The 22721-nt window shown below is 37.6% G+C and overlaps 2 protein-coding genes across 23 annotated transcripts, besides 3 other annotated features; one reads left to right on the top strand and one right to left on the bottom strand.

Moving 5' to 3' along the window:
• Window positions 170-13746, top strand: NUDCD2 (NudC domain containing 2). 4 transcript variants are annotated; one of them, NR_138427.2, is made up of 4 exons: window positions 170-580; window positions 2662-2710; window positions 3192-3343; window positions 6222-13746. NR_138427.2 is itself a non-coding variant. In NM_145266.6 (4 exons), the coding sequence occupies exons 1-4, from the start codon at window positions 222-224 to the stop codon at window positions 6303-6305; spliced, it is 474 nt and encodes a 157-aa protein (NP_660309.1). In that variant the 5' UTR covers window positions 170-221; the 3' UTR covers window positions 6306-13746. The 4 variants fall into 4 exon arrangements, 2 of the variants coding, with proteins under 2 accessions (NP_660309.1, NP_001316920.1); NR_138426.2 differs by having other exon boundaries at window positions 170-945; NM_145266.6 differs by having other exon boundaries at window positions 170-410.
• Window positions 204-453: an enhancer, noted in NCBI's record as "active region_23577". NCBI's record gives its function as "activates an Ori minimal core promoter by ATAC-STARR-seq in GM12878 lymphoblastoid cells {active_cell/tissue: GM12878}" and the evidence as "EXISTENCE:reporter gene assay evidence [ECO:0000049][PMID:35858748]".
• On the bottom strand, window positions 2632-22701 carry CCNG1 (cyclin G1). Of its 19 annotated transcripts, NR_157051.1 has the most exons (11): window positions 22613-22701; window positions 22468-22512; window positions 20926-21015; window positions 20752-20804; window positions 18941-19194; window positions 18308-18386; window positions 18129-18227; window positions 17704-17898; window positions 16347-16598; window positions 15791-15935; window positions 12073-13596 (listed from the first exon to the last, which is right to left on the bottom strand). NR_157051.1 is itself a non-coding variant. In XM_047417862.1 (8 exons), exons 2-8 carry the CDS (start codon window positions 21013-21015, stop codon window positions 16532-16534), a joined length of 909 nt encoding a protein of 302 aa, XP_047273818.1. In that variant the 5' UTR covers window positions 22468-22701; the 3' UTR covers window positions 15256-16531. The 19 variants fall into 19 exon arrangements, 10 of the variants coding, with proteins under 10 accessions (XP_047273818.1, NP_954854.1, NP_001350947.1 ...); NR_157052.1 differs by lacking the exon at window positions 12073-13596 and adding an exon at window positions 13753-14368 and having other exon boundaries at window positions 20752-21015; XR_007058657.1 differs by lacking the exons at window positions 12073-13596; window positions 15791-15935 and adding exons at window positions 2632-2855; window positions 14291-14368 and having other exon boundaries at window positions 20752-21015; window positions 22468-22701.
• Window positions 22004-22581: an enhancer, noted in NCBI's record as "H3K27ac hESC enhancer chr5:162864697-162865274 (GRCh37/hg19 assembly coordinates)". NCBI's record gives its function as "activates a minimal SCP1, AML or CMV promoter by ChIP-STARR-seq in primed H9 embryonic stem cells {active_cell/tissue: H9 hESC(primed)}" and the evidence as "EXISTENCE:reporter gene assay evidence [ECO:0000049][PMID:30033119]".
• Window positions 22113-22312: an enhancer, noted in NCBI's record as "active region_23576". NCBI's record gives its function as "activates an Ori minimal core promoter by ATAC-STARR-seq in GM12878 lymphoblastoid cells {active_cell/tissue: GM12878}" and the evidence as "EXISTENCE:reporter gene assay evidence [ECO:0000049][PMID:35858748]".

The raw sequence follows: 22721 nt of genomic DNA, 5'->3' as shown, positions 1-22721 counted from the left end.
GCATGTGAACTTTTCTGGATTTCAGTTCTTTCATCCGGGGCCTGCCGGTGCCGTAAACGGCCATTCAAAGGGAAAAACGAACACGCACACCAAAGCGCTAGCTTGCGTTCCTGCGCATGCGCAGTGACCCGAGCGGAGAGGCCGAGGCGTAGCCTAAGCGTGGGATTCCGCGCGTGCGCTCGGCTCCGCCTGGTGCGGCCGCGGCCGGGAGGGACTGGATTATGTCGGCCCCGTTTGAGGAGCGGAGTGGGGTGGTACCGTGCGGGACCCCGTGGGGCCAGTGGTACCAGACCTTGGAGGAGGTGTTCATTGAAGTTCAGGTGCCGCCAGGCACGCGCGCCCAGGATATCCAGTGCGGCCTCCAGAGCCGGCATGTGGCGCTGTCGGTGGGCGGCCGCGAGATCCTCAAGGTAGCGGCAGCTCGGGGCTTGTGTTCAGTTTCCTCTTCCCAGACGCCCCCAGCCCCGTTTCCCTGAACGACTGTTGGGTGTCCCGACGGCTCCTGTGGCTGGCAGAAAGAGAAAGAGGATAACACTGACCAGGTTTGGGTCTGGTCAGAGCCCCCGCCTCTTCAGGGCAGGTGCTGAGTTGTGGAAATTTGAGGAGCCTATTTTCGTGTTTAGTTTTCAAACTAAGACTGCTGCTTCTGCTTCTCTGACGGGCTTCAGCTGGGAACAGATTAACTAGGTTGCTAAAGGAACAAATATTTCTTCCGTGCACTGAAGACAGGCAGGAAGACAACAGATAACGTACCTGCAGTGGAGAGGTTAAGCTCCTGTACGGAAGCGTAATTCATAAATAGATAAATATAGGAAAGGACAACAAAGAAAATAGGGATAGAATAACGGGCAGAGAATTTAGAGATGATGTCAGGTGATTAGTTTTCTCATCTAAAAGCTTGAAAATCCTGCATGTTTGTGGAGTGGTCAAGCAGGTGGTGAAGAGGTGTGTGCATAAAATAAGTAGTACTCCTTTTATTTCTTTTCACCAATGCTCTTTGGATCTGGACCCGCTTTTTCTTTGTTAAGTGTATAATTAAACTAACAGGTTGAAATTAGATTTAGTTCTCAGGTTAGATGCCCAAGATGTTTGATGGCAGTGTAATATGGTGAAGGGAGACTACTTGTTTCCTAGTTTTGTAAACTTGGGCGAGAGATTGTTCAGTGTCTCTATATCTTCCTTATCCACAAGATAAGGTAGTTATAGTACCCTTCTCATGGGATTGTTTTGAGCTTAACATGGTATTCACGTGTATGAAGAGCTTGGAGTATTCACTGGTATGTAATAAGTTCATACTATATGTTAGCTATTAGCTATTATATATATTACAGTATATGGAGGTGCTTTGAGTGCCTCAAGATTCGTGTGAAAGACATTATGTCAGCTTGGATCTCAGTTACTTTTCTGAATTGTACAATTCATAGTTTCCTCAACAATGGTTTTAGATTACGATTATAAATTAGTAAATCCAGTAACTTTCGGAATTTAGCAGTAGCTGCTGAATTTGGGATTTCTGATGTACGTATAGACCAGTGGGATTTTTTTCTCACTAATTTTGACATATTTTAAAATGTGGGCTTTTCCTAGTGACATTTAATTTCACTTTCTATAACTTAAATTTGGCAACAAATTAAAATGGATTTGAGTTTAGGCATTCTCTCTTTAAAAAAAAATATATATTTATTGAGACAGGGTCCCTGTCTCCCATGCTGGGGTGCAGGGGTGAGATTGTAGCTCACAGCAGCCTCAAACCCATGGGGTCAAGCAATCCACGTTGGCCTCCAAAGTCCTGGGATTACAGGCCTGAGCTACTGGGCCTGGTGCAGTCTCTTTTAAATTTATATTTTGTTTATTTTTTTAAAAAACATGAGTTTGTGAACAGTTAGTCACAACTAATCTATCAAATCTGGAATACGTAAAGTTTTTTTAATGCCGATTGCCCAACAAAAAGATTAAAACGTTTTTAAAAGTTTACTTTAAAAACAACATTTTGCCGGGTGCGGTAGCTCATGCCTGTAATCCTGGCACTTTGGAAGGCCTAGGCGGGCGGATCACAAGGTCAGGAGTTCGAGACCAGCCTGGCTAACACGGGGAAACCCCATCTCTACTAAAAATACAAAAATTAGCCGGGCGTGGTGGCGGGCGCCTGTAGTCCTAGCTACTTGGGAGGTTGAGGCAGGAGAATCGCTTGAACCCTGGAGGTGGAGGTTGCAGTGAGCCAGATCGTGCCACTGCAGCCTGGGCGACAGAGCGAAACTCTGTCTCAAAAAAAAAAAAAAAAAAAAAAAAAAAGACAACATTTTTTAGTTTTAGCAGGAGATCCCTTCTTGTGGTTAATTTAAATTGGTAGAATTAAAGCATTTCAGATATTAATTTCACATTTGGCCAGTGGTCAGTATTACTGTATCTTCTAAAAATTAAGGAGCCCTGATCTTTCTTTAGAGAGCTCTGTGTTCTTTGCCATAGTAAATATCCCTTGCAGTGTAAACTAGTTTCCATTTTACCTGCTGGGAGAAAATTTAGGGTTGTGCACCTATAAATGTCATGGTGAAGTGGTGGTATAAGATGTGGATTAGGTAGGAAAGTAGGTAAATCTTAATCATGAAAACTTTATAAAAATTAAATTCTGTATTTTTAGCACCTTATATGTTTATTTTTCAGGGCAAACTCTTTGATTCTACAATAGCTGATGAGGGAACATGGACTTTGGGTAAGGGTAATTACTATAATTCATCAAATTAAAATAATTTTGTCTTGATATCTTTTCCTCTTTTGTATTAGGTCTTTTTTGTCTTTGCAGCTTTGAAAGATAAAGCAATAGAAATGTGTTGAAAACCGTTGTATGTCAAAGTTACCTAGTGGGGGGAGAAAAAATTAGTTAGTTGTTTTTGGAAATATAAAATTTAATGAAGAACTTCTTGAGACCACCCTGGCCAACATGGCAAAACCCCGTTTATACTAAAAATACAAAAGTTAGCCGGGCATGGTGGCGCATGCCTGTATTCCCAGCTAGTCGGGAGGCTGAGGCAGGAGAATCACTTGAACCCGGGGGGCGGAGGTTTCAGTGAGCCGAGATCAAGCCGCTGCACTCCAGCCTGGGTGAGAGTGATACTGTCTCAAAAAAAAAAAAAACAACTTGATGAAGAACTCTAATTTATTTGTGCGTGTGTGTGTGTGTGTTTTTTTTTTAGAGGACAGAAAAATGGTTCGTATTGTTCTTACAAAGACAAAGAGAGATGCAGCAAATTGTTGGACTTCTCTACTAGAATCTGAATATGCAGCGGATCCTTGGGTGCAAGACCAAATGCAGAGAAAGCTTACATTAGAGAGATTCCAAAAAGAAGTAAGTCAGATGAAGTGTATGAGTATGTGTAATTAAATATATAAAAATCATCAAATAAATATTTGAAATTAAAACTCAAATGTCATTATGAAAAGTTACAAACATTTTCTAGAAGAATTTTTAAAGTGAATTGTTAGAAAAATGGCCTTTCTTGTATGGATTTGATTTTTCGGAAGATTTTCTTGAGAGGAATTTATTTGTATTGCTGTGATTTGTGAGTTTAAGCTTACTTTTATGTACATCAGTAATGCATGAATAAACTCTTACTATAGTTGAATCAATATAGACTTACCTAGTGTAAAAAGTGAAAGGCCCCTTCACCACCATTCTCCCCATTCCATGCATCTATCTCATTTTCATCTCATATGTTGGCTATTGCTTGTTTTGTTTTGTTTTTTAGCATAAATGGAGGATCACACTGTGTGTATTGTTCTTCTTGTTGCTTTTTTATTTAATAATATGCTGTGGGTCTCTTTCCCTACTAATACATAGGTATAAAACTCATTCTTTTTAACTGCTTCAGAGGATTCTGTAGTTTGGATGTGTCATCATTATTTGGCTGTTTGCCTTTGATATGATTTAGATTTCTTCATTTTTCTCTATTTTAAAGAAAGCTGTGCTTTCATCTCTGTGAAACTACTCAAGTGTTCTAAGATATCTTTAAGATAAATATCTAGGAGAGGAATTGCTAGATTGCAGCACTTGATAATGTACGTCTTTATGATAATGATTTCCAGATGTATATCTCTAGCCTAGACTTTTTTTCTGAATTTAGGACCTGCATACCCGGTTGCCTATTCAACATCTCCACCTGGCTATCTAATGTATATTAAGCTCAACATGTCCAAGTTGAACACCCTAACATCCTTCCATATTTGTTTTTACCTGTAGCCTTTTCATCTCAGTTGATGAAAACTAGTAGTTCAGGTCAAAAAAAATTGGGACTCATCTTTGATTCTTACATCTTTCTCATACCCTATCCAATGTATTAGGAAATCTTACTGATGCTACCTTCGAAATATATTTAGAATTTGGCCACTTTTCACCACCAACTCTACCACCATTCTGATCTGGACCACCTCTAATGTCTTGCCTGATTACTCTAATAACGTTCTAATTGGTCTTCTCACTTTTACTCTTGCCATAGTCTTCTCAAAATAGCAGTTAGAGCAGTTCTTTTTTTTTTTTTTTTTCTGAGATGGAGTGGTGCGATCTCTGCTGACTGCAAGCTCCGCCTCCCGGATTCCCGCCAGTCTCCTGCCTCAGCCTCCCGAGTAGCTGGGACTGTAGGCTCCCGCCACCACGCACGGCTAATTTTTTTGTATTTTTAGTAGAGGTGGGGTTTCACCGTGTTGGCCAGGATGGTCTCAATCTCTTGACCTCGTGATCCGCCCGCCTTGGCCTCCCAAAGTGCCGGGATTACAGGCGTGAACCACCGCGCCCAGCCAGTTAGAGCAGTTCTTTTAAAATCCAAGTCACATCATGCCACTTCTCAGAACTCTGCAAGTCATTTCTCGGCCCTTTCTGATCAGTTATTCCATCATCTCCCTGATTACCTCCTCCCTTACAGCTATCCCTCTTAGTGATTCTGCTTTTGCCATACTGGCCTGTTTGCTGTTCCTTAAAGAACATGTCAGCCCATCCCTTTGCTATCCTGACTGCAATGCTCTTCTCCCACAGTTTGGCTAACTTTTATGTTTTCATATCATTGCTCAATGAAGCATACTTTGATCATCCCATTTAAATATAATTTTATTTCCCTTATCCTGTTTTTTTTTTTTTTCTGTGTCACTTACCAACTTTTAACACGACATCAGCGGTTGGCAAACTACAGCCCTTGGGCCAAATTTGGCCCACTACCTGTTTTATAGCTTTTCTAGGATACGTATATGCTCATTTGTTTGTATATTGTCTTTCAGACAGTTGAGTATTTGTGACAGAGACTATGTGGACTGCAAAGCCTAACATATTTACTACCTAGTTTTTAAAAAGTCTGCCAGCCCCTGTACTGGTTGATTTATGGTTTGTCTCCTCCTGCTAGAATGTTAAGTTCCACTAGAGCAGGGATTTTTGTTTTTTTTCACTCTTGAATTCTACATACCTCTAATGGTCTCCCAAACAGTAGGAGCTCAACAAATGTTTGTTGGATAAACGAAATAGCCCACCAAAAAGACTAAGGCCTGACATAGTACTTCACAGGACTGTTGTGAGGGTTAAATATCTTATATATGTATAGCTCTTAGAAATTTGTGTGGCATATAGAAAGCTCTCAAAAAATGCTAGCTATAGGCTGGGCGCCATGGCTCACGCCTGTAATCCCAGCACTTTGGGAGGCTGAGGCAGGCGGATCACCGGAGGTTGGGAGTTCAAGACAAGCCTGACCAACATGGAGAAACCCCGTGTCTACTAAAAATACAAAATTAGCCAGGCATGGTGGTACATGCCTGTAATCGCAGCTACTCGGGAGGCTTAGGCAGGAGAATCGCTTGAACCTGGGAGGCAGAGATTATGGTGAGCTGAGGTCGCACCATTGCACTCCCGCCTGGGCAACAAGAGCGAAACTCCGTCTCAAAAAAAATAATAATAAATAAAATAAAAATGCTAGCTATTAAATATAACTACAGACTTTTATTGAAGTATATGTTTCCCCATACACTTGCCAACATTGTAGTGTACATATGATGTCTAAATATTTGTAACTGGGAGAGTTGAAAAATGCCTCATAATTTTAAATATTACTTTGGTGGTAACAGTGAAGTCTGTTATATTTTCATGTATTTATTGGTCATTTATATATCCTTTTTTATCAATTGCCAGTTTGTACTTGTATTTTTCCTTATAAGTTTTATTTCATTATATATATGTTTGTATCTTTTAGAATCCTGGTTTTGACTTCAGTGGAGCAGAAATCTCAGGAAACTACACTAAAGGTGGACCAGATTTCTCAAACCTTGAGAAATAACTGCTTTTTTTCCTGCATTCTGTGGATCCTAGCAGATATTGCCAACTTAATCAGATAAACAGATTATGTAATGGAAGAAAAATGCGGATGCCTACAGTTAACAGATTGCAAAATGTATCTTAAAATGGTTCTAAAAATTGCATTCAAACATAATTTACATAGGAAATGTACTGTGGGAACTATTCTATGGATATATGGTAAAGTTGTTTTGGACTTGTTTTTGCTCAGCATGAAGTTTTATATGCTGCATTTTACTAATTCCATATTTAACCATATTTTTAATACAAAAGAACATTAGAGTATAGATCATGTGAAATGAAGGGTGCCTTTGGGGAAAATTAACTTTTTCTTTTGATAAGTATGATATTCAATAAAATTTTCTAAATAGGAATTGTGTACCCCTTTGTCTAAGTATAACAATTCACACAAAATTATAGTGCTGAAAACAATTTTAATAAAGGAAAAAGTCCATAAATGTATTTTAAGTAAATTAAGAGTTAATGTAAATTTCTTAATTAGAATATTATTACTTGAGGGATTACTTTATGTCAAGAAGTTTAAAAATAGTTAAAACCCTAACAATAGAAGTGGATTAACACAAAAGAGAAGTGTGATCATGGTAATTAGGTGAGTCCTTTGTGGCAGAAAGCAAAGTAAGGTCACTAATTGTATATCAGTGGCATCATTTTGATTGTAAGTGATTTAGGCATATAGGTAGGAATTGTCTATAGACATTTTATTCAATATCCTATTTATGTCCTTTTTATTTTTTGCCCTTTTTAACTCTTGAAAAAATTTTAAATCTCATGCATAGAAAAGTTACAGATAATTTTTTTCTTTCTGAACCATTTGTGATTTAGTTGAAGACATGATTCCTCATTACTGATTACTATCTGCTTCAAATTATCTTACATGACTACAATGCAACCATTAGAATCAGGAAATTTACGTTGACACATTACTACCCTCTAATCCTCAGATCTTCACTTCATTCACATTGAACTGATTGTCCCAATAATGTCCATATAGCAAGAGGATCCAGTCAGAATCATGCCTTTCATTTAGATGTCAGCTGTCTTTAGTTTACTTCATTCTGGAACAAATTCTCATTTGTTTCCTTTTACAACTTAGTACTTTTGACAATTATGGGCTAGTTTTGTAGAACACCCCTTATTTTGAGTTCTGTCTGATACTTCATGATTAGATTGAGGTTATTCATCTTTGGCAGGAATGTGATAGAAGTGCATCCTGTCATTGTTTAATAATTTCAGTTTGTCTCATTTCTGATGGTGTTTCTTAGATGACTGATTAAGGTAGTGTCTGCCAGACTTCTCCACTGTAGTTATTTTTATAATTATTTCTTGAGAAGATAGTTGCAAAATACTACCTTGTTTCTGATCAGACTTTAAATTTATCGTATCTCTATAAACTCATTATTTTCTATTTTATTCAGCAGGTTAAAAAACCTATTATCATTACATTGGTGCTCAAAATTATTGTACATTTGGCTGGTAGAAGTCCATTCTGGGTGGCCTCTGTGTCCTTCTGACACATTCCCATCATTATTCAATGAATTTGTTACTCTCTGGCATAAGATATACCAGGCTTCTCATGCTGTCCTCGACCTAACCCAAGAATCAGCCATTTTTCCGTAGAGCCTGGGTTCTCTTTAGTGAGTAATATTTAAAAGCCAAGATCTGTGCTAGTGTGCAATTGCCGTTGGTGTGTATATATAATGCATGTCTTTACATCTATATTTCTGCATCTATGTATATTGAAAACCATGAATTCACATATAAATTCTGATCCCATGGGCTTCATTTTCATTTTTTCCTTCTCCACATTTATAACCGTTTTCAGTACCAGTGAGAAACCTGATTCCTATTTGATTATTTGTGGGGTTTTTTTTTTTTAAGGTGGAGTTTCACTCTTGTTGCCCAGACTGGAGTGCAGTCGCGCGATCTCGGCTTACTGCAACCTCCGCCTCCTGGGTTCAAGCGATTCTCCTGCCTCAGCCTCCCAAGTAGCTGGGATTACAGGCATGCGCTGCCACACCTGGCTAATTTTTAATTTTTGGTAGAGACGGGGTTTCTCCATGTTGGTCAGGCTGGTCTCGAACTCCGGACATCAGGTGATCCGCCCGCCTGGGCCTCCCAAATTGCTGGGATTACAGGTGTGAGCCACTGCGCCTGGCCTGATTCTCTATTGTAGGTCATCTCCCCACATGAATGTCTTCCTCACCCTGCTTAGGCTTCGCATCCTATGCTGAGCAGGAATGTCCTCCTCATCCTGCCTGGACCCTAATACCTCACTCCAGGCCATGGCAGTCCATTCACCCTGTGATTCCTATCTTGCTCATTTTAGGAATGAATTGTCGGGGGAAGAGGCTATTTTTCTTTTAATTTTATTCTCTTTGACATTTAACAAAATTTTTTGAGTAAAGTAAAATTAACTTTTTTGGTGTATGGTTTGGTGAATTTTAAGTATAGATATGTGTAAACACCTCCACAGTCAGAGTATTGAAGAGTTCAATCACCGTAAAAACTCTCGTGCTCTCTTTGTACTCTACACACCCTACTCCCAGCCCCTAAACCTTGGAAACCACTGATCTAATCCCCATCTCCATATTTTTGTCTTCAAGCATGTTATAAATGGGATCATATATAATTAAGAAAAACGCTTTATTGTAACAACATACATTTCACCCATTTAAGGTGTGTAATTCAGTAGCTTTTAGTATATACACAGATAAATGCAACCATTCCAATAATCAATTTTAGAATGTTTTCATCACCTCAGATAGAAACCTTGTATAGTTTAGCTTTTATCCTTCTCCTGTCATCCCCCGCCATCCATACTACCTCTTTTCATCTCATAGATTTCCTTATTCTGGACATTTCATGTACATGGAATCATAATACGTGGTCTTTGGTTACTGGCTTCCTTCACTTTACATGTCTTAAGAGGTTCATCTATATTCGAGCATGTATCAGCACATTCATTAGTATGTCTGAAAATACTTCATTGTATGGCTGTAGCACTTTGTTTATACATTTGTAAGTTGGACATTTTGGGTATTTCCACCCTTTGGCTGTCCTGACTAAAGCTGCTATAAACGTGTACAAGTCTTTATGTGCATATGTGTTTTCATTTCTTACCTAGGAGTAGAATTTTTAGGTTATATGATAACTATGTTAATCATTTGAGGAGCTGTCATTGTTTCCCAAAGCAGCTACATCTTTTTACTTTCCCACCAGCAGTGTATGCAGGTTCCATTTTCTCTGCATCCTTGCCAATACTTGTTTACCTGACATTTTGATTTTAGTCACTCTAGTGGATATGAAATGGGATCTCTATCTAGTTTTGGTTTGCTATTCTCTGATACTATGTTGAGCATTCTTTCTTGTGCTTATTGGCTATTTGTGTATCTTCCTTAAAGCAGTGTTTATTCAAATTATTTACCCATTTTTTTAGTTGTCTTATTGGGTAGTAAGAGTCTTTATATATTCTGGGTACAAGTCTCTTACCAGGTATATGATTTGTAATTTCTCCTATTCTCTCTTTACTTTGTTGATAGTGTCTTTTGAAGCACAGACTTAATTTTGATGAAGTCTTATCCATCATGCCATTGGTGGATCATGTTTTTGGTGTCATGTCTAGGAACCTTAACCCCAGGTCATGAGGAATTTTTCTTTTTTCTTTTTTTGACTCACATTCTCACTCTGTCACCCAGGCTGGGGTGCAGTGGCACAATCTCCACTCACTGCAACCTCTGCCTGCTGGGTTCAAGTGATTCTTGTGCTTCAGTCTCCCAAGTAGCTGGGACTACAGGTGTGCACCACCACTCCCAGCCCATTTTTTTTTTATTTTTTATTTTTAGTAGAGTTGGGATTTCACCATATAGGCTAGGCTGGTCTTGAACTGACCTCAACGGATCTGCCCGCCTCAGCCTCTGAAGTGCTGGGATTACAGGCATGAGCCACCGTGCCCGGCCTATGGATTTTTTTCTTCTAAAAATTTTATAAATTTAGTTCTACATTTAGATCCGTGATCCATTTTAGGTTAATTTTTGTATAAGCTGTGAAATTTAGGTAGGTTTATTTTTTTGCATATGGATGTTCAGTTGTTTTAAAATCGTCTGTTGAAAAACTCTCCATTCCCCATTGAGTTGTCTTTTCACCTTTGTCAGAAATCAATTGCTATTTATGTGAGTCTGGTTTTGGACTTTATTCCATCGATCTATGTGTTTATCCTTTCATAAATACCAGATTGCCTTGATTATCACAGCTTTATAGTAAGTCTTAAAACTGGGCAGCATGATTCCTTCAAAATTTTTTTGAAATCTTTTTCAAAATTGTTTTGGCTAATTTAGTTTCTTTGCCTTCCATATGAATTTTAGAATTAGCTACTCTGTATCTACAAAAAATCCTACTGGGGTTTTGAATGCAATTTTGTGTCTTCCAATCCATGAACATGAGGTATCTATTTAGGACCTCTTTCATTTCAGTTATCAGCATTTTATGTCATTTTTCAGCATATATTCCACAGTGTTCATTTTGGAGGAACTATTGTTAAGTTGTATTATTTTTGAAACATGGGTTTCCAATTGCACATCGCTAGTATGTACAAATGTGTTTGATTTTTGTTTGTTGACCTTGTATCCTGTGACCTTGCTAAACTTCATTAGTTTTGGGAGTTATTTTGTTGTTAACTCATTAAGTTTTCTACATAAACTACGAATAGAAACAGTTTTATTTTATTCTTTTTAGTCTATGATTTTTCTTGCCTGATTTTGTTGTTAACTCATTAAGTTTTCTACATAAACTACGAATAGGAACAGTTTTATTTTATTCTTTTTAGTCTATGATTTTTCTTGCCTGATTGCAGTGGCCAGAACAATAACATGGAGAAAGTGGCCATCTCAGTCTTGTTCTGGATCTTAGGATTTTGAAAGCATTGTTTTTGACCATTATGTATGCAAGCTGTAGGCTTTTCTTAAATTCCCTTTGTCATGTTGAGCAAGTTCCCATCTATTAATTTGTTGTTAGCAGAGTTTCATGAGTGGATGCTGAATTTTCTATGCTCTTTCTGTATCAGTTTGGTCATTCTTTTTGTTTAGACTGTTAAAATCATGGATTTTACTGATTCCAGAATTTTGAAACAGCTTATATTTCCTCCCAACCCCAAACTTGGTCATGGTACATTATTCAGCTTATGTATCTAGATTTTTATTTTTTGAGGATTTTTATGTCTGTGTTCATTTTGGATATTGTGCAATTGTTTTTGTTTGTTTTTTCCTTGTGTTATCTTTATCTTGGTATGGTATCATGTTAATTCTGGTCTTGTAAAATGAATTGCAAAGTGATTATTCTTTCTGGAAGAGATTTGTAGAATTTGTTATATCTTTAAATGTTTTATGAATTTGCTAGTAAGGTTTTAAACAATGGTTCAATTTTTAAAAATAGAGAATTTATTGAGGTTTATTTAAGTTTGGGTACTGTATGCCTTTCAAGGAATTGGTTCATCTAATCCTATGTGCATAGAGTTGTTCATGGTATTTTCTTTGTGTCGTTCTAATGAGGATCTATACTGTTATCTTTTCTTTGATTCCTAAGATTGGAATCAAAGATTGGAATTCCTTCTCTTTTTTTGTCAATTTTGCCAGAGGTTTATCAATTTTACTGCTCTTTTCAAAAATTAGTTTTTTGATTGTTTTCTATTAATTTGTTTACAATTGCATTTATTTTCTGCCTCTTTTTTTTTTTTCTTCTTTCTGCTTGCTTTAGGTTTAGTTTGGGCTTCTTTTTTTTGTAGACAGGTCTCACTTCATCACCCAGACTGGAGTAGTGTTATGATCATAGCTCACTGCAGCCTCAAACTCGTGGGGTCATGATCCTCCTACCTCAGCCTTCTGAGTGGCTGGGACTATAGTGGTGTGCCACCACACCCAGTTAGATTTTCCTACTTTCTTAAAGTGGGAGCTTAGAGTGTTAATTTGAGAACTTTTTCTTGTTTAGTAAAAAGCAGTCGATTGTTATAAATTGCAGCACCAGCATGGCTGCATTCCAAGCACGGTGATATTTTCATTTATTTTAAAATATTTTTTAAGACTTCCCTGTAGTATCATGAGTTATTTAGAAATGTGTTGTTTAATTTCCAAGTGTTTGGAGATTTTCTTGCTGTTACTGATTTCTAGATTATGGTCAAAAAACATATTTTATATGATTTCATCTCTTTTAAATTTGTTAAGGTTTAAGACCCATGATGTGGTTTATCTTGGTGAGTGTTCCATGTGTACTTGAAAAGAATGCTTATTCTGCTGTTTTAGGTAGAAGGGTTTTATGTCAATTAAATCTAGCTGGTTATTAGTATTATTCCATTTTCCTACATCTTTGCTAATTTTCTATTAATTCTATGGACTACTGAGAGAGGAATGTTTAAGTTTCCAACTGTAAATGAAGATTTGTCCAGTCCTCCTTTTAATGCTACCACTTTTTGCTTCATGTTTTTTTTTTTTTTTTTGAGTCTTACCCTGTCACTCAGGCTGGAGCATAGCAACTCTGTCATGCTTCACTGCAGCCTCAAACTCCTGGGCTCAGACAGTCTTCCCACCTCAGGCTCCTCAGTACCTAGGACTACAGATGTATATCACTATGCCTAGCTAATTTTTGATTTTTTGTAGAGATAGGGTCTCCCTATGTTGAGTAGGCTGGTCTTGAACTCTTGGCCTCAAGCAATCCTCCCACCTTGGCTTCCCAAAGCATTGGAATTACAGGAATGAATGAGTCTCTGTACCTGGTCTCTTCATGTATTTTTAAGATCTGATAATAAGTGCTTACACTTTTAGCACTGTCTTGGTGAATTTTATCATTATATAATGTCCCTAATTATCCTTGGCAATTTTGGTTGTTCCTAACTCTACTTTGATGAATATAAAAATGGCTTTTTAATTTATTTTTTGAGACAAGAGCCTCACTCTGTTGCCCAGGTTGGAGAGCAGTGGTGTGATCTTGTCTCACTGCCTCACAGGTTCAAGCAATTCTCCTGCCTCAGTCTCTGGAGTAACTGGTACTACAGGCATGCGCCACCACACCCAGCTGATTTTTGTATTTTTAGTAGAGATGGGGTTTCACCATGTTGGCCATGCTGGTCTCGAACTCCTGGCCTCAAGTGATCCGTCCACCTTGGCCTCCCAAAGTGCTGGGATTACAGGTGTGAGCCACTGCGCTCGGCCTTAAAAATTGGCTTATCTTTTAATTCATCTTGACTCATGTTTACTGTTTTTTGGTTTCTGAAAAATAGATTTAATAAATAATAACATTTTATCAAAGTTATTAGTATAGAGAAATAAATTGAGTGTTGTTATTATTCTATGATCATGATGACAGCACAGAAGTTAATGTGGCCAGCATATAGTTTTGATTAAAAATTATACAAGCAATTTCACTTGAGTCCAATTAATCTTTTATTTTGAGAGGTAATGTATAGAGTGGTTAAGAGCACAGCCTCTGGAGTCAGAACTGCCTGGCTTTGAATCCTACCTCCAAGTACCAGGTATAGACCAGGGGCAAATCATTAGGTTCTCTGTCTCTCTTTCATTTGCAAATTGGGATAATGTCATTCAGTTGAGAGGATTTTAATGAGATGATTCATAGTACCAGAGAGTAAAAATTATCACTGCCAGCCACAAATGTTAAATCGAAAATATAAATTTTTAGATAGGATGTCTCATAATTGTAAATATGTACAAGGTTCAGATACTTTTTAAAAAATACTATGAAACATTATTAAATAAGTCTAAGGCAAGTCAATTATAAAAGGAGGCTTCTTTTATGAACAACTTTTCTTTCATCAGTAACTCCTTGCAGTGTCTACTTTACAGGATGTTAGTTTGAACATGAACTGTTCAAAATCATATTAATTAATTCAATTCCAGTAATAATTACAATTGATCCAAGCAGGCTAACATAACACATGGTGGTTACCTGGCATTAGCAACCACGCTGCTGAAGTGTTGTTTAATTAGGTAAGAAGGCTGGCACAAAACTTCAAGTGGGCTGAAACTAAAAGTAAATATATATTAAGGATAGCATCCATAGCAGTGATGAATCTAAGTGATAAAAGGGATTAATAATGCATAAACACCAACTTTTAATACACATTAAACAATTATTTGTCATCATTCTATGTCTATTAAAAAAACATTAGAGGCTAGGCACGGTGGCTTATGCCTGTAATCTCAGCACTTTGGGAGAACGAGGTGGGCAGATCACTTGAGCCCAAGAGTTTGAGATCCGCCTGGGCAACACAGTGACAACACTGCCTCTACAAAAAAAAAAAAAAAAATTAGCTGGGTGCGGTGGCATGTGCCTATAATCCTAGCTATTTCGGAAGCTAAGGTGGGAGGATCTCTTGAGCCTGGGCTGCCAAGGCTGCAATGAGCCAAGATCGCGCCACTGCACTCCAGCCTGGGTGACAAGAGTGACCCTGTCTCAGAAAAAACAAAAAGTAAAGTGTCAGCTAATAGTCATACTATTAATAGGGATTTTATTGTTTCTGGTACTATGCATCTAACTTTAGTACTAAATTTAAATATACTGGGTAGAGAGAGCTTTTTATAATGTTTCAGAAAAAACAAAACAAAGTGTCAGCTAATAGTCATATTATTAATGGGGATTTTATTGTTTCTGGTACTATGCATCTAACTTTAGTACTAAATTTAAATATACTGAGTAGAGAGAGCTTTTTATAATGTTTCAGAAAAAACAAAGTAAAGTGTCATCTAATAGTCATATTATTAATAGGGATTTTATTGTTTCTGGTACTATGCATCTAACTTTAGTACTAAATTTAAATATACTGAGTAGAGATAGCTTTTTATAATGTTCTGTTAACACATTGCTAAAAGAGTTAATTAAATCAGAGGAGAAAAAAGCCACCCAGCAAAGGATTGAATTTCATTAACTTTATTGAAAGGTATATCCCTTAGTACTAAAACATAATGGTAGTTGGTTAGTTTACCTCTGCCAACTCAAAATTAACAATGATGTATTCAAAATATTGAAATTTATCAGCCTTTTGGGAAAACTAAAAAGTTACCCATAAAACATGGTTTACAAAAGTTAAGAATAAGATATACTGTGGTTCTTTGGTTTTTCATTGTGTACTGATCCATAACGTGATGTCAAATTGGATATAGCCATCATGGATAGACTCAGGCTATACATTGCACTGAGTAACTGTTTACAACACTTTAACACTGTACTTCTTACATTCACTAACTGCCATGGAGGATCCTAAACACTACTTCAGCAGCTTCATTCATAGTTATGAAGGTGTCTACTTGCTTTTCTTAAGATTTTTGTTTTGGCACAGTAAGGGCATCAGTGGAAGTATATTCTCTATTTATAAAATTGCCATCACTTCTAACTTAAAAACAGTCTGTAGTAAAAAATTCTGGAGTGTTCAATCTAGTCTGAACTTACCTTAGTGTGGGAAAGCAAGTTTTCGAAGTGATAATTTATTTTGAGTTACTAATACAATAGAAACTAGTTTTCTTGATGGGATTCAGTTTGAGGCAGTAGGTTCTGTATAAAAATTTTTATCGTAGATACAAATGTCACCTGTTTTCTAGAAAAAAATATTAAAAGATAACTTAATGAATATGCCAAACTTTATAGGTCTGTATTTTTCTTTATATAAAATGCCCTCAAATTTAAATGTAATTCCCATATAGCAATAAAGTCCACATCTCTAGATTACCTATTACTTGCATTATGGGGTGTGTTTATACTGCCTAGAATGTTAACCCTTATTATGCCTTAAAAGTACATTTGTGAAATGTTGCTTTTGACATAAACCTCATAACTTAAAATTTAAGTAGGAGTAGGATTAGAATAATGACAGTGATTGAAGCTGTGGGAAGACTGATAGTTGATAGTATTAGTGTGACTCCTCCAATAGCATTTTCAATACCACCTAAATATATTGATCCAATATCTAAAGTTAGATCAATGATAGAAATGAAGATTCACAGTTTACCTTCTCAGGCTTGTCATTAGCATTTCACATTTAGGCTTTTAGCTTTGATTTGAATGCTTCACAGATGAATTCAAATCTAAACATAATTCCACTACAGCATAATATTAGGCAGTTTTCCCAAGTCTGAGACCATCATGCTTATCTCGTGATGTTTTGAGGCTTCATAGCTTAAATCCATTGTAACATTATGGAATCCATAGAACAAGGTTGTGGAGAAAGGCTTCAGAGAAGTTTTTTGGTGCTGTAATAATCCTATTTAAATAAAGAAAACAAACAAAATCCAACTTAACAGAAGCCAGTCTGCCTAAATACTACTAAGAAAATTGAAATGTTCATATCTAATATTCATAATCACATGTAGATGTATTAAATGTTAACATTTAGTTTTGAGTAGAATAAATCATCACTGAGTTAGGAAATTTATATGGCAAGAATGTATATCACATATGCAGAAAGCAAGTTTACATTTTTTATGCATATAACTACTTTGCAGTAGTCCAGCTGCTATAGCAATGATAGGTTAGTATAGTGTTGACACACTCTGGCAGTTTCCAGATACCCAATGTAGAGACCATCTATCATATCCTACTTTTTTTCTTTTTTTTTTTTTTTTTGTGGCGGAGTCTTGCTCTGTCGCCCAGGCTGGAGTGTAGTGGCGCGATCTCAGCTCACTGCAAACTCCGCCTCCCGGGTTCCCGCCATTCTCCTGCCTCAGCCTCCCGAGTAGCTGGGACTACAGGCGCCCGCCACCGCGACTGGCTAAATTTTTTTGTATTTTTTAGCAGAGACGGGGTTTCACCATGTTGGCCAGGATGGTCTCGATCTCCTGACCTCGTGATCCGCCCGCCTTGGCCTCCCAAAGTGCTGGGATTACAGGCGTGAGCCACTGCATCCGGCCTACTTTTTTTTCTTTTAAGTACAATATCCAAGTTCATATTGATTTTGCTTATAAGCTAACAGTCTCAAATTAGTTCATACTTGGTTCAGACTTTTGGTGCTGTTGTCCTGCTCAGCTTATGTAATTTTAAATCAGTCAGATACATACAGCAAGATCATGTGCAATTAAAAAAAAGCATGATTTTAGTGCTACAAGGAGGATGCTGTTCTCTAAGCTGAAAATTTAATGAAATGGCTAACGTATGTATCAGAGGTTGGATAATTCCTTACTCCTAAGATGTTGTACCTTGTATATAGTAAAGGCCTTCAAATATTAGCTGACTAGATCAGTGATGTCATCTCCCCCTTTACTATTCCAACTCCATTTTGTTTATTTTGAAGATAATTACTCTTCTTTAGTTGAAAATTATGGCATTGGAAAATGTTCTCTATCTGGAGAATAATAACGGACCAAATTTACCAGTTAAGGGACCATTTCAGGAATTGTTGGAAGGTGAGTTATTCTGTAGTAGCTATGCTTCAATTGCCGTGCAGTACGCCCAGAAACAATCCATTTCAACTTCTGAACATTTGGTTTGGAACACTTATTTGATGAATATTCAGTTAAACATTTGGATACAAGCTCTTGCCAGAAGGTCAGATCTCTGCCATTTATCTGTACATACATAAATTTTAAAAAATTATTACTCCAAGTAAGTCCCACCTTATTTAACTACATTAATAAATGCAATCCTATGAACATGTGTCTTTGCTCATTAAAAACATTTGAGGATAGCTACTTAAGTTTCAAATAAACATATGACATCTCATTTTACTTCAGGAGATAGAAGGGGTTTAGTTTCTTTTACAGCTGTTAATAGGATTTAGGCTATGTCCTTCACATACCTTGGAATGTTTCTGAAGACATTCTATTCCTTCTGTTAACTCTACACACTTCTGTGCTTGGATCTCTAATGCAATGATAGACAATGCCAACACAGAAGGCTAAAAGAGATAAATTTAAAGTAAATGCCAAATATAAAAACAGATCATATCAATAGGCATAATCTTTATAAAATATTTACCTTTGCTTTAGAAAATATGATCCTGCAATGACATGCCTTCAGTTGAGCTTCTAGTCTTTCAAAATTAATGCTATTTCTCCTTTAAAAAGAAAATGGTATTACTTTTATTAGGTAATACTACATCTAGTCAAAAGATGTTTTTAGAAAAACATTGAAGTCAATTTTTAAAGTAAAGCTTATGCACACTTAACATAGCAAATGAACTATTGAAAGGAATTCCCCTTCCATCAGAGATACTAACTTCTAAAGGCACCATATGGGAGTTTTAGATGATTTGGGCCAAAAAATTAAAATGAATAGTACTATGCCACAAATACAAGATTTATTTTCTTTTAGTTTTAATAAATATTTCAACATCCACTGAAGGTCCTTTTTTTCCATAAATTTGTGTTAGATGCTTTCCTACTAGGTTCTATAAAGTCAAAATGTACTTTAATCCCAAGAATTAGCTTTAACGAAGCTATTGACAATGGAACATTTTCTCACTTATGATGGACATTAAAGTTCAAGGAGCCACAGCTGTCATTTTACTTATTTTTATTAGAATTCTATGAGGATACTGATTTTATGCAATATCCATACAATACCATTCTGATTTCCAAATGTCTCTTGTTCAAAACAAAGGTCACTTACCTTTCAAGTGGCAAGTTCTCTTGAAGGAGTGAATAATACAGTTGCAGAAATTGAAAGGCAGTAGTAGCTTTGACTTTCCAACACACCTTCTCCAATACAATCTTTTCCATTCTCATCAAGTCTGAAACCGTAAACCTATATTGACTTATTCGGATCAAGTCAGTTGCCAATGGGACATTCCTTTCCTCTTCTATTGATTTTACAGCCAAATAAAAGCAGCTCAGTCCAACACACCCAAGGTGCTTGGGCTGTACCTAAAAAATCAAAAACAAAACCAGTAAGCCCATGACTCTACCTTATTTCAATTAAAACATAAAGGATAATCTAGAACTCCGACCCAACATTTTGAAAATGTATATTTGAGGTTTATTTCTCAGCTGTGATGGACTTAACACAATCCACTCATACCTAAACTATAGCCTGTCAACACTATGGACCCCACTTAGAACCAATTTTTGAGTAACTGGACTGAGTTTCAGTATAATGTTTGGCTCAGCATAGAAAAAGTGTGTTTTTATTAATCACTGTAGAACTATAAGTAAACATTGTTCTAGTTTGATCAAATAAGTTAACTAGTCAAAGATATATGAGGACTGAAATACTTTATGGCTTATTTACAAAATAAGCCATTTCTTTGCAGGATGTTGTATTTTTTCCAGGCTCTTGTCTTTGTGGGAACACATATAAAACAGTTTTAAAATACTATGGCATATACTGTTTACTCTGCCTCTAAGAGTTCTATCCACTACTAATCTTTATCATTTAATTTTCTGAATGTCTGCCGTATGAGACACAGTCAAAACTTTATCCAGTTTACTTCCAGCTCACATGAAACTAAGCTTTTACCAGTATTAATATCTCTGTGCTCTCTCTCTTCTTGTAAACTCTTCAGCAGTACACTTATGCCTCTTTAAAGGCATAATGTAGTTATTTTTCTTATTATGACTTGTACATAAGAGCAACGATCTTATTCTCACATAAGACTGAATTATACCTGAGGAATAGCTGTATATTATTCATTTGTGCAACATTTACAGATTCAAAGGTAATGACTACATGTGAAATGTCTAAAGAGCTTAATTAGTCTGTTGAAGCAAATTTCTTGAATCTTCAACAAATATTGAAGTCCTTTTTTATGATGCACTGTGTTAGATACCGAGGACTAAAATATGAGTTTCCTTCCAATTGTCACATCATCTTATTTTCCTCCAGTGACCATGGGTGTACAGGAAAGGCAGATGCATTTGTAACAGTTAAGCTCTGAAAGTGACAGTCTTGTTTATCTAGTATAGGAAAATAGTTGCTCCTCCTTCAGACACACTCTCCTCCCTACTGCATGTACACTGAAGCTGGAAATGCCAAGCATAAGCAAGTCTTGACTAGGTCTAAGGCTAAAACATTTACAATTTTATATATGGGTAGTGATTAACAAATATATCTTAATTCTTAGCCACAATGTAGCCTCTAATAAATTTCTGCCACTAATAAATTTGTTTATATCTAAAAATAGTAAATAAATGGACAAATCCAACCTATCAAGAAGGGTTTTTTAAAAACAGCCAATTTTCTTACTAGGAAACTGCAATTTGTTACTTGATATTAGACTATTTTTCATTTCAGAATTTAAGTCTAATACCTGATGTACTACTCTTGATTATGATAAGAAATATTAATGCTGTAGTAGACAAAATTAATGTTTTGGCTACGTGCTGAAAAAAAAAAGGTCAAGTTTATGAATACCAGCCAAAAGGTAACAATTCCATCTCCAAAACACACTGAGCAAAATTACAAAAATGTAGCTTCAAACATACCTTCATTTTAGACAGGAATCTGTCCAGTAAATTCACAGCTAGAGAAAATGTCTCTGTGTCAAAGCCAAAGAACTGAGTTAGACTAAGAAGATCTTTTACTTCAAAGTCCCTTAGTCTTGCAGTCATTCTGAGGCCATTATCGTGTGCAGACTCAATTAGTCTCAAACCACAGACCTTTGGCTGACATCTAGACTCCTGTTCCAACAGGGCATTCAGCTGGTGTAGCAGTTTCTGAGAGTCAGTTGTTGTCAGTACCTCTATCATCTATATATAGAAAAAAAGACCAGCAAGGAGTGTAAGAGTAGTCCTTCCTGCTTTCCTTGGCCATCTTTGCACTGGGCCAAGAAATGATTTATAAGCCTCCCATCCCCCAATGCGGCTAGTGCATCTAAGTCATTGCAAAGTGCCATCTGTTATTTATTTCCCTTCTACAAGTTGGTCACATCCTAAATTGAGTTCCTAGAGGGAAGGAACCATGCTTTTTTTTTTTTTTTTTGAGAAGGAGTCTCGCTCTGTTGCCAGGCTGGAGTACAGTGGCACGATCTTGGCTCACTGCAACCTCCGACTCCCTGGTTCAAGCGATTCTCCTGCCTCAGCCTCCCGAGGAGCTGGGATTACAGGCATGCGCCACCGCGCCCAGCTAATTTTTATATTTTTAGTAGAGACGGGGTTTCACCATGTTGGCCAGGATGGTCTCGGTCTCCTGGCCTTGTGATCTGCCCGCCTCGGCCTTCCAAAGTGCCGGGATTACAGGCGTGAGCCACCGCGCCCGGTCGGAACCATGCTTTTTAGAAAAATAAAATGCAAATCTTCAAGAAATACTTGTTCAAGTTATTCACTGTCAATAGATAACCACGAATAAACACCGTAAGACAGGATACCGAAAGTGAAAAGCAGATGGTAGTTAAGTATTCTGCCACATATTAACAAAATGAACTGTTCAAGTTACTTAATTGTACTTAGTTCCACATTGATAAAGTAGGGATAAGGTTTATGACCTACCTCACAGATTTGTGAGTTAAAATGAAATCACGTAAAGAGCTTAGCACATACAGTAGACGCTTAAAAAACACTGAACAATAATAATGAGCTTGAGCTTCTTTCTAGATTTATAAAATGAGGGTAACAATATCTGTCGCTGAATGTGAAGACTGAACAAGATGATTCACCACTTAAAGAGTATAGCACAGTGCTTGGCACACAATACTCAATATTACTTAACTTTTATTGTTGTTAGGAAAGGAAACTTAAAAGGTGACATTAGGAGCACGTATTGGGGCGGGGGGGTGCGGTGGGTTGTTGCTAACCTAGTCTGAAAGATGAACCTGGGAATTCCATTGATTTAAGTGTGCATAACACAACCATGTCCCGGGCACAAGCTAAGCCCTGGATACATGGAAGGTCCCTCCCACACCAACTAAAGACAGGAAGGCAGGAGGTCTTCAGAGCTAGTCATGTGAGGAACCTCTAACTGCAGGGGTTCCATTCTTCCTCCCCAGGCTAGTCCCTGGGACTGGGTCGGCAGACACGAAAGGCACCTCAGGAGGCCGGATCCGGCTCCGCCCCTCCAGCCTCGGACTAGCCTGGGCTTGTGCTCACAACAGCGGTAGAGTTTAGTGTGGAAAAGGGCGCGGGCCAGACCTACTCCTCGCCCCGCGCCCCCAACCCAGCTCCCCACCCGCACCTGGCGGTCAACTCCCGCGCAGTCCCACTCACCTTGACAGAGACTGCAGCTCCTCAGCGGTAACCACCCTCCCCGGGCCTGCTCACCTCACCCCACGATATCAGATCCGAGAGGCCTACGAGGAGAGGGGACTCGTAGGCAAGAGGAGAGAGGCCCGGGGAGGGGGACTGTCCTGGGTGGAGGCCTCGGCAGCGCCGCCGAGACAACTCGGCCCTGATCAGGGTCAGCTCGGAGCCGAAGGGGCCGCGCCTGCCCTAACGAGGAATATATTGGAGGGCGGGGCTTT

Source organism: Homo sapiens, chromosome 5, assembly GCF_000001405.40.
Source record: "Homo sapiens chromosome 5, GRCh38.p14 Primary Assembly".
Lineage (NCBI taxonomy): Eukaryota > Metazoa > Chordata > Mammalia > Primates > Hominidae > Homo > Homo sapiens.
The sequence above is the reverse complement of the archived record's forward strand: the minus strand, read 5'-3'. Positions and strand labels throughout refer to the sequence as shown.